At 37.0% G+C, this 12039-nt stretch overlaps 1 protein-coding gene and 1 long non-coding RNA gene across 7 annotated transcripts in view; one reads left to right on the top strand and one right to left on the bottom strand.

Moving 5' to 3' along the window:
• LOC105379087 (uncharacterized) overlaps positions 1-12039 on the bottom strand; it is a 140268-nt gene that overhangs the window by 25584 nt on the left and 102645 nt on the right. For all 4 annotated transcript variants that reach the window (XR_001742443.2, XR_001742441.2, XR_948581.3 and 1 more), the window contains one exon: positions 8815-8891. This is a non-coding gene — a long non-coding RNA (uncharacterized LOC105379087). The remainder of the gene's footprint in view (positions 1-8814; positions 8892-12039) is intronic.
• The window catches only part of KIAA0825, a 467754-nt gene that overhangs the window by 392329 nt on the left and 63386 nt on the right, over positions 1-12039 (top strand). The gene's annotated exons all lie outside the window — the stretch shown is intronic.

Genomic DNA, 12039 nt, shown 5'->3' with positions numbered 1-12039 from the left:
GATGATGAGCATTTTTTCATATGTCTGTTGGCTGCATAAATGTCTTCTTTTGAGAAGTGTCTGTTCATATCCTTTACCCACTTTTTGATGGGGCTGTTTTGTTTTGTTCTTGTAAATTTGTTTAAGTTCTTTGTAGATTCTGGATATTAGCCCTTTGTCAGATGGGTAGATGGCAAAACTTTTCTCCCATTCTGTAGGTTGCCTGTTCACTCTGATGATAGTTTCTTTTGCTGTGCAGAAGCTCTTTAGTTTAATTAGATCCCATTTGTCAGTTTTGGCTTTTGTTGCCATTGCTTTTGGTGTTTTAGTCATGAAGTCTTTGCCCTGCCTATGTCCTGAATGGTATTGCCTAGGATTTCTTCTAGGGTTTTTATGGTTTTAGGTCTTACATTTAAGTCTTTAATCCATCTTGAGTTAAGTTTTGTATAAGGTGTAAGGAAGGGATTTTAAAACCAATTTTTGTTAGAAATGTTGAGCTGTATTCCCACTGGGAGAATGTCTTAGTTAGTTCAGGCAGCTACAACAAATTACCATAGTTGGGTGGCTTAAACAATAAACAGCTATTCTCACAGCTCAGGAGGCTGGCAAGTCCAAGATCAAGGTGTCAGCAGATCAAGTGCCTGCTAAGAGCCAACTTCCTGGATTGCAGATGGCTGGCATCTCTTTGTATCCTTATATAGTAGAAAGCAGAGCAGAGACAGCAAACTCATCTTTCTTCTTATTAGGGCACTAATCCCCTTCATGAGGGCTCCAACTTTATGAATAATTAATTCCAAAAGGCCCCACCTCCTAACCATTACGTTGGCGTTAGGACTTCAGCATATGAATTTTGCAGTGACACAAACATTTAGTCCATAACAGGGGGAAAAGCAAATAAACTAAGTTGAAAAGTCCTGGTCAAACCAGAAGTAGTTTATTTTAGCAATAATTTCAATATTTCCAAGAGTTATAATCTTCTCCTTTGTCTTCTCAATCTAGAAGTAGATGTCATTTCTAATTTAATAATTCTTTTTTTACTCTTAAATTTATGCTTCGATAACTTTATTCTCCTCTGTTCATTTTAATGTAATGGAACTCCTTGTGTCACACACAGTTGGCATTTCAACTTACTTCATTTTAGGAGATTATATAACTTAAGGTCTTGCACACTGAAGGTACTCAATAAACGTATGTAGAAAATTTGGCTATGCAGAGCAGATTCATATTGAGGCTATTACTTAAGACAAATTTAGGCACAGGAGCACCTCAGCCTCTTAGGAGGGACAGTTTGGTCTCTTATGACAATCAGAATAGAACAAAGTGGAGAGATAAGTGAGGTCAGAATGGGGAAAGTGGCAGGATGCAGGCAAACATGTTCTTAATTTAGAGACAGATGAAGGCTCAGGACTTTCCTAGGCAGATAAAAGAAGAAAGAAGCTGCTTTTTGAAAAGAGGGATCAAGATTAGGACAAAAAGGGAGATTCAGCCATCAGCAGAACCCAAATGAGAGCCTACAAAGAGACACTGTCTACTCAGAGTACATCTTCAGACATCCAGGGTCCCAAGCTACTGTGTTTACTGTTAGCCCTTAGCCATTGTTAAGTCTTACTGCTTTATAACTCTTCTTTAAGAATATATTAATAGTAAAATTACTTACTCCTATATATACAACGAATCCTTAATTATCAAAAACATTTATAGTCATCACCTCATGATTCAGTTTGCCCTTCTCTAGTCCAAATGAATTGAAGTAGGAATTCATAGGACCGTTCCTAGTGAAGAAAGATTTTAGTGCTATTTAAAGAAAGTAAAAAGTATATTCTCCTCTGATAGAAATTTTCATTCTGATAATATTTTATTTGTATCTTTTTTTAATGTCATGGCAAGAAATGCAGTTGATGGGCAAGGGACAATGGCTCACACCTGTAATCCCAGCACTTTGGGAGGCCGAGATGGGCTGATCACCTGAGGTCAGGAGTTCGAGACCAGCCTGGCTGACATGGCGAAACCAGTCTTTATTAAAAATATAAAAATTAGCTGGGCATGGTGGTGGGCGGCTGTAATCCCAGCTACTCAGGAGGCTGAAGCAGGAGAATAATCACTTCAACCCCAGAGGTGGAGGTTGTAGTGAGCCGAGATTGTGCCACTGCACTCTAGCCTGGGTGACAGAGCGAGACTCTTTCTCAAAAAAAAAAAAAAAAAAAAAAAAAAAAAGAAAAGAAAAAGAAAGAGAAAAGAAAAGAAAAAGAAATGGAGTTGATTTTGAAGAGAAATCATTTTGAATAATTAACCATGAATTACTCTAATTAGCAGAAAATAATTATAGGTTGGACATACGCTCTTTCAAATGCAGAGGATAGAGTAAAAGAATATTGGAAAAATAATGCCACCTTATAGATGTTGCGATGAATCCCAAAGAGGGCTTTTCTTTGAATTAATCTTTAACTAAGGCATGTTAAATGTCTTCCATTAGAAAACATTCATATTTCTACAAGACAAAAATTATTACCTAGCATATGTTGTTAGTTAGAGAATCTTTATTGTAATAATTATTAAAGAAGACATCTTTAATGCTTCCTAAAAGAGAAAATATCATTTCCTTTGTTCCTTTTATAACACCTTCTGGATCACCAGAACAGCCTTCGATAGATTTAGCATATTTGTACATCATAGGAATACTTAAAACACTGTTTGTAAGTGGAGTTTAATATATTCATGTCACTTGGAAAACGTTTGTCAAGTGATTAACATCACAGTTGCACTTGTGGCTTCTGTTTCCTGTAGGGGAAGAATATGTGGCACACTGATGAGAACAGGTAACAGATTCCTTTGCAATTAGTTTCTGTTCTGCAAAGACCATCATCAGGACTGAAATGAGAGCTGACAAAAAGGTATATAGTCTACGTGAGGTATACTTTTGGGCTAAAGGGAGCCCAGATATGGGACCCAGGAGACATGTGCTCAGATATGGCACCACAGATAACTAGTTAGTCCCTGACTAACTATGCAACTTGGATAAGTCTCATTGTGCCTCTTTAGCTGTTTCTTTATTAGTAGTACCATCCATCTCACAGGATTGTAACATGGTAAAAATGAAATGTGAAATTAACTTTCGAAAGTTAAAAGCAACAGCAACAACAAAAAGGTAAAGCATTGTTTGGACAAAAATGTAATTTTTTGGAAGAGGTAGTTGGGGAGGCAATGTGGAGATGTAGGTCCAAGGATAAAAAGTTGTAATTATGTAGGATGAACAAGTCTAGATCTAAGTACAGCATGAGGACTACAGTTAATATTGTATTGTATTTGGGATTTTTTGCTAAGAAAGTAGAATTTAGATGCTCTTGCCACACATACAAAAGGGTAACTGTGCAAGTTGATGGATATGTTAATTTGCTTAACATAGTAATCACAATGTATATCACAGCATCATATTGTATATCTTAAATATATACAATAAAAATGTAGCTTTAATATATATGATTTTTACCAAAAAATAATTTGCAATTTAGAAATGAGGAGTATCTGGCATATGGTCGAATAAAGCATAACTTATTTTCATATACCATCATATATAAAAATAAATTCAAAGATGCCTGCTTTTATGATTGTTAAGAGCTAATTATGCAAGAGAGTATCTTTGCAAAGAAATATATAGTGACATTCTGATCATTGGTCACAAATGTGATTTTCTAGGTTAGGTTTCAATTTTGAAAACAACATTCTTGCTTCTTAAATCCTTGCTCTTTTTCTACATCACTCTTTTGCCACCATCAAGAAAGCTTTTTCTATATCACTCTTCTGCCACCATCAAGAAAACTGTTTTTCTTGATTGTTCAAAATAATAAATGGAGTCAAAGCCTATGTGTAGAATAAACAAATGGTCTCACTTGCTTAAAAAATAACAGCACTCCTTGATCCTTTCATTATACCATCCTCTCTCCTCTTCTTTTCTTTTCTCCTTACCTGAAATATTGAATGAAACATTATCTCCAGTGAATCGCAATTAAAATATATGTTGGTTGCCTGGGAGAGGAGAGAAAGGCCCAAGAATCTCCTTTAATCTTCTCTTACAGGCTATTGGCATGGATTCTTTTATCTGATTAGATAAAACAGTTAGCTTTCAGTATGGGCAAGTTGGACTAGGATTTCAGGAGAAGCTGTTTAGTGGTTATAATCGGTGATTTTTAAGGTTCCTTTCAACTCTGAAATATTTTATTACAAGTAGACCTGTGTAGCCAAGGGGTGCCCTGAGAGATAAAGGGAGGGAGACTACTAAATGACAGTGAAGAAGTAAGATCATAGAGGAAAATTATGCACTTCACTGTTTTGCCTGGAACTAGACGGGCAAAGGCGTGGGTGAGAAAAAAATGGGCCTTGATGCAGTATCTAACAAGCCACAAACATCTTAACTTCCTAAACCTTACATAGATTCTTACTGAGAGAGAAAATAGATTTCACCAAAGAAAAGACAAGGTTCTTTGGGGAAGGAGATAAAGACAGAGACCTCTGTATTTGTTCCTCCAATAACAGGAGGAACTTATCAAAGAATAAGGACATAGATGCCTCATTCCCAGAGACTACTTAGGTTTTCCATGATCTTGAAATCTTGAAAGCTCAGGCAGCAGAGGAAATCAGTTCAGGCCTGTTTGTGACAGAGTGGACTCATGGCTGGAGAATGAGCAGAGACTGCCCCTGTCCTCTGGGTCTTACTCCTTGATTTTCAGGAACCTCCTCACAAAACATCGCCTCATTCTTGCCTCTTGGAGCAGGTTCCTGTGAGGACTCAGACTCAGGAGAGCATATCTTGTAATTATCTTGGCTGAGGACCTCTTGACCTTGGACAGCTGAAGGAGGGTCTGGGTGCATATATTGGCCATGTCTGATTTTACAGAAGTAATCTTCACAGGCATGGTTTGGTGGAACTTGTAGCCATCTGCAAGGCCACTGTAGAAATACACATCATTTACTTCGAGTCTATAAAGTTTTGTGGATCAAATAGGAATGACTTGTCAAGTGGCAACTCCTAGAGAAGGATGAAAGTTGGCCACTTCCTGCTCCTGGTTACTCTAACCTCCAGCTCCTTCTGAAATCCTGGCAGGCTCTACCCCTGAGACCACAAAGAGGGACTCTTAGGGTCACACCTCGTAGTCTGTGGAGGACTAGCATCTTCTTTTGATGAAACTGAAATGCAACACTTAATACTCTCGGAAGAGAGAAAATGAATGATAAGAATTCTGACAACCTGGCTTGAATGTTTCTATTACAAAATTAGAGAAACAATCAAATTTGAAGGGACATGTAAAACATCACAAAAATGAATCAGTGGTTACTGAGGAGTCTAAACTCTAGGTCATACTAATGCATATATGTTTCCAGGTCTGCTGTGATGGTTAAAATAGGTTAATATTAATAGTTTTCAGTCCCATAATAAAATAGGTCTAAGACCTGTAGTGCACTTTATCCTCTTAAATTGGCTCACCATGTACATGGAATGTATAAAAGAACCAGATCAAGTGTTATCACAGATTCTTAGTGAATGGAATCTGAATCAGGATTCACAGGATTTGTTTAGTTAATTGTCTCTATATAGTCATTTGCCACATAATGATGTTTCAGTAAACAATTAACAGCATATACATTTATATATGCTGTTTATATAATCCATAAGATTATAATGGAGCTGAAAAATTCCTATTGCCTAGTGATATCATAGCTGTCATAAAGTGGTAGTGCAACACCTTACTCACATGTTTGTGTTGATGCTGGTATAAACAAATGTGTGCTGCCAGTCATATAAAAGTGCAGTATAGCACATAAAATTATGTATAGTAAATAATGCTTGACAATATTAACAAATGACTATGTTACTGGTTTATATATTTCCTTCACTCTACTTTCATTGTTATAGTGTACTCCTACTTATTAAAAAAAAAATGTTAACTGTAAAACAGCCTTAGGTGGATCCTTCAGGAGATACTGTAGAAGGCAGAATTGTCATGAGAGATGACAGCCCCATGTGTGTTATTGCCCCAGAAGAACTTCCAGTGGGATAAGATGTAGAAGTGGAAGACAGTGATATTGATGACTCTGACCCTGTGTTGGCTTCAGATAATGTGTGTGTTTCAGTCTTAGTTTTTAACAAAAAAAATTTCAGAAGTAAAAAATAAAATGTTTTTAAAATAGGAAAAAAGCTTATAGAATAAGGATATGGAGAAAGAATTTTTTGCACAGCTATACAATGTATTTGTGTTTTAAGCTAAATGTTATTACAAGAGTCAAAAGTTTAAAAATGTCAACATTTATAAAGGTAAAGAACTACAGTAAGCTAAGGTTAATTTATTATTGAAGAAAAAATAGTTTTTATAAATTTAGTGTAGCCTAAGTGTGGAGTGTTTATAAGTTCTACAGTAGTGTACAGTAACATCCTAGGCCATCACATTCATTCACCACTCACTCACTGGCTCACCAGTGCAACTTCTAGTCCTGCAAGCCCTATTCATGGTAAGTGCCCTATAAAGGTGCACCATTATCTTTCATATGATATTTTTACTCCTTTTCTATATATAGTTATGTTTAGACACACAATTACCAGTGTGTTACAATGACCTACAGTATTCCAATACAGTAACTTGCTGTGCAGGTTTGTAGCCTAGGAGCAATACACTATACTATATAGGTATGTAGTAGGCTCTACCACCTAGGTTTGTGTAGGTCCACTCTATATGATGTTCAATGATGAAGTTGCCTATCAATGCATTTCTTAGATTGTATCCTCATTGTTAAGCAGTACGTAACTGTATTTAAATATTGTGACATGGGATATATTTTTATAATCTGTTCATATAGCTCAGGGGTCTCCAACCCCCAGGCCACAGATGGTACTGGTCCATGGGCTCTTGGGGACCAGGCCACACAGCAGGAGGTGAGTGGTGGGCAAGTGAGTGAACCTGAGCTCCACCTCCTCTCAGATCAGCGGCAACATTAGATTATCATAGGAACGTGAACTCTGTTGTTAACTGTGCATGCGAGGGATCTAGATTGCACACTCCCTATGAGAATCTAATATCTGATGATCTGTCACTGTATATATTACACGTAATAATATATACATGTATATACATTATATATTACAATGTAATAATAATAGAAATAAAGTGCCAATAAATGTAATGCGCTTTAATCATTCCAAAACTGTCTCTTCTCCCCGCCCCCATCTGTGGAAAAATTGTCTTCTACAAAACCAGTCTCTAGTGCCAAAAAGTTTGGGGACCTTTATGAGCTACTTATGGAGTATCTAATATACATAAAGCTTAGTGATAACCAGTGCAAAAGCACAAAGATAGAGACGAGATAAGCACATAAATAAGACCCCAAAGCTGAATAAGGTAAATGTCATAGGAAGGAACAACAACAACAACAAAAATCTGTGGGTTAAGGGCAGAGGAGTAATATCCAGTTGGAAAATACATTCATGGAGAACAAGAAATTTGATGGAGATCTGGAAGCAGATAAGTAGGATGTTAGCAGGTGACATTGGGAAGAAATATGCAGTGAGGAGGAAGGAGCATAAATTAGAGGGTAGAGGCAGGACACATGGAGTAAGTTCATGGACAAGGCACTCCAATTTAATCATAGCATGAAATCAACTCTGTGGTATGTTGGCAATCTCCCTTTTCCTCACAGTTCTGGAATGTTTGCTACTGCAGTTTGGTTTAGTTCAACAGTCATTCCTTGGATACCCACTAAGTGACAAACACTGTTCCAAAGCAGGGAAATAAAAGATAAAAAGGTATACACATTCTTTGCCCTCACATCACTTACAGTGGGGCAAATCCTTTGAACTATCATGGTTATTGGAAATATGCTTGGAATGCTTTTGGATGGAGAGGCATCCCTAACCCAGCCTGTGAAGTCAGTCAAGACTTTCCAAAAACAAAATGGTTAGAACTCAGTCTAGATGGACAAGAAGGAATTAGGTAAAAAACAGAAGCAAAGGTGTTCAAGGCACAGGGAAGAAAAGCATGAGAAAAAGGTATGAAACAGCATTTGAGCTCGGGAAACTATAAGAAGTTCAGGATTCCAGAAGCATTCATTCAAGTAATTTCTAAGGAGTGTCATTATTGCTCCAATATTTGCTTTTTGATGTGAAACTGAGAAATATAATTATATGGCTTTCATGGTAAGCCCACACCCTTTACTAACTTTGGAGTTACTAATGGTATTTCATTTTTAGAATACCTACGTGTTTGTGTTTTATTGTTATTCTACCACATGATGATTTTGTAAACAAACATTGCATATATTCAATGTTCCCTGAATTTCATTACCTTGACTCAATGAGCTTTATGATTGTAATACTATTGGGCAACATACCCAAGAGTTATAAGAATGCCCAACATTGAGACGTTTGCAGCATTCCCACCTTCTTGTTTTGTTAAAAAAACGTATTGCCTTATAAGTGAATCTAAGTATTATTCACACAATCCCTTAGTATTATATACTTCTCAGTCCCAAATAGTTCTTATGTTCTCACTACTGACACCTTAAATCTCTATAATATTATTTGTGTGTCCCTTTTTAAAAAAACACTGATATCTAAATACATGAATAGCAAAAGTATTCTTCCTGGACTATACTTCTATCTTCTCTGCCCTGGTCTAATAATTCTCTATCTTTGAAGTACATTTTCAGAAAGCAAAATTTAAATCAAGACTGTCATTTCAAAATATAGGGCTACCTACAGTATGGGTATGTATAACTAAATATGCTGCTCAGTGGACCAGGAGTTCAGCCCATCATGGTAAATAGCATGTGTGACACCAGGGTTTCACTCACTGCTCAGTTTTGTGGCAACTGTGGATCACTGTGTAACCTCAGTCTTCGTGGCTTCTCATTTATGGGGCTCTGCTCAGCTGTAATGGAAGCAAAAGATGTGAAATCAGATACCACTGAAAATGTTTATCTGTATGAGTAAAAGCCTTTTACTCTCTTGCTAAGTTTTTTCACTATGCTATTTATTTCTATTTTAAGGAAAGTTTTTTTAAATGATACGTAAGTCATTTTAAAATGGTATCTACACACACCAGATAGAAAATTAAAGGACATGAATAATTTAAATTTTAAATGCTTCCTTTGGTTATCAAGATATTTGAGTTCTCAAATGTTTGAATAGTTGCTTCATACTCAACTCCTACATGTATACATAGTAAAAGAGAAAAAAATCCTTTGAAATGTTCATATTTTCCTCTTATGTCAACATGGATATGTCATAATATTTTTTGTTTTATGGGACTCATTTCCAGTTGATGCAGAATTTTAAAGTCAAGATAATCACAATAATTAAGGAGTAAATGTGTAAATGAGGGCCTGATTCAAGTTATTTAATTAACATAGATTCATGGAAATTTGACAACTGGAGGATTAAATATGGATTTTCATCTAATCTGTTTCTGTACTTTTCAGTTCTCCTAAACTATCACCAAATAAAGGGCAACAGTAGAGAATCAGAAATGTGAAAAAAAATTAGGAAGCTATTTCCTGTTCCTTTGTGGCTTGTCTAGTCTAATACTCCTGCATTGAGAAGTTCTTAGAGACAATTCTTGTGAATCTTTTCTATGTGGGGGAAGTGAGAAGACGGAGAAAAATGGCTCTCCTCCCTAAATATAGTCCTAGTGGTGTTGATGTTAACCTGTTCAGGATAGACCAAGCCCTTTAGTATGAACGGGAGCCCTGGGTCCCCCAGGACTAGGTAATCATTGCCTTTTGTCCCCTCTTATCACAGGCTAATCACTTTATTCCTCCTGGATTCCTCCTGTTAAAAATCAGGTAAAAAAGCCCAATGGCAGCAATTAAACCTACCTTCCATTCCATCTGAATGGAACAGGCTTCCAACAATGTTTCTCTCAAAGTACAAACGTTTCTCATCTCTATTCCCACTACTACTCCCTTCACCCCTAAAGAGTCCCAGACAGAATTTTCAGATTCAGGCCAAATCCCTTCCATTTACTTCCACAGTGATCTTCCTTGAACACTGCTTTACCATATTCTTACCCTGCTTTCTTCTCCCTCCAATTGGAGAGAACCAATACTTACTTAGGGCCAAATAAACTGGCTAATCTATAATTCCAAACTAATAATAATGTTAAGGTGATGTGTTGGGGGTGTTGTACCAGCCTAAAGAAAGCATGTTGGGAGAGCCTCTTTTTTATGGGATGAGTTGGCTTATCTTCCCTAGACACACCAAAATCATGGTAGAGGAACCCGGCATGGGATCATCAGGAAGAGGAAGTGGGGCAGTGAGATAATAAGTACTAGTATGAACACTGAATCTGAAGTGCCAGGAGTTCATCGTGGTGAAATTGTCTAGAATAACAAATATGGATTCGGAGCTTATCAGGGAAGTCTGGTCATGAGAGTCCTCAGGGATGCTTAGGGGTTTACGAGATGCAAGGTTATGAGATGGCCAAGGATGGGTTTGTAGTGTTAAGAGGAGAGGGCTAGAGACAGATGGAGGAGGAGCTAAGAGTAGGAGGGCAACCAGGAGAGAAGAGTGCGAGGAATCAAGGGAGGAAAGTTTTTCAGGAAAGAAGAACCATTCACCAGTTTAAGTCCCAGCGAGGCCAAGTTAGATTAAGATTAAAAAGGGAAAAGGGGAAGAGAGAAATACAGAAAGCAAGTAGACTACTTAGGCAAATGAGATTTTCAGTAATAAAAGAGAACAGACTTCTATTCCTCAATCTTTCTTTCCATCTTCACCTCATATTTATCTCCAAACAAAACCATATTTCTACATTGTTTGTCAATATTTGAATTTATCAATTTGAAAAAAATATTTTTAACTCTTCACAACTCCCACACTAAGCCTAAGGCCAAATCTTTGTTCTGTTGAATCCCTTTTCTCCATTCCCACCCATTGGCCTTTTCTTTGCCCTGATGTGTTTCTCATGTTGGTTTCTCCTCTGGCCTATGTGCAACGTACCTGCCAGATGGACATTTCTGCATTATGCACACTTGGTCCATCTTTTATTTTTACTACTTTCATTAGCTTCTGCTTTCCTTTAGTAATAGATTCAGATTTATTTTCCACTCTGCCTTTATCTTCTCTTGATTGCCATTTTTTGAGCCTTCTTTTCCTTTTCCTTGACCATCATTCCATCTTGTTGTCTGATCCCCTGAACACTTGTCACCTGGCACTTTCTGGCAACTTCCAAAGCCACCCCTCTGAAACTTTCACTTTTCTTCTCTTGTCTTTAAAAAAACTTGGCTGCTGTATTTCATTAATGAATATGAATAGGAAGCAAGTTAATGTCACTTTAATATTTTGATTTAGATTATCCTCATCTTGACCAAATGTTGCATTTCATGTGTATAATTCAAAATATTTCAGTGTTGTCTATTTTTTCTTATTTTGTTTTGTTGTTTGTTTGTTGGTTGTTTTTTCCTCAAAACTCAGGCTAGGCCCTCACATGAACGTAGAGAAAAGAGTTTGCCTGGGCAATATGATTTGAAGGGTGTCTTAAAGCTCAGTAACTGGTCACAGTTACTCAAGTACTTATTATTCTCTGCCTTTCAATTGAATTGAGGCATTTTAACTTCTAAAATGCTAAAATAATTTCTTAAGCCACTAGGAGCCATGAAGACATCAGACAGGGTTATATTTACAAGGAGGGTAGGAAGAAATTTGGTTTGATTGAGGCAAGAATAAAGATGGCCCAGGACCGAGGAGTTTCCCAGAGAGTACAAGCCCTGGGGCCACTAGAGTGGAGGGCTCAGAGCAACTAAAGTCAGTCGAACACTTCAGGTATTGGGGGAAGGGAAGGGTGATGCTACCATCAGGAGAGGATGTGGAAGTGAGACAAGGGTAAAATGAAAAGAAACTTCTCTTATATCATTGGTTTGCCTCAATGAATAAGTCTATTTAAAAGGGGTTCCTTTTGGTTATTTTTTGAGGGTTTTATTTTTATTTCCTTTAAAATGAATATTTGTCCAATTACTTGATAAAGGAAGGAAGGGTATGATCTTTATAGAGATCCTCTTTTCCATGCAGCACACTAATTGCAG

Source organism: Homo sapiens, chromosome 5 (genome assembly GCF_000001405.40).
Source record: "Homo sapiens chromosome 5, GRCh38.p14 Primary Assembly".
Lineage (NCBI taxonomy): Eukaryota > Metazoa > Chordata > Mammalia > Primates > Hominidae > Homo > Homo sapiens.
This window is presented reverse-complemented; position numbering and strand designations above follow the sequence as displayed.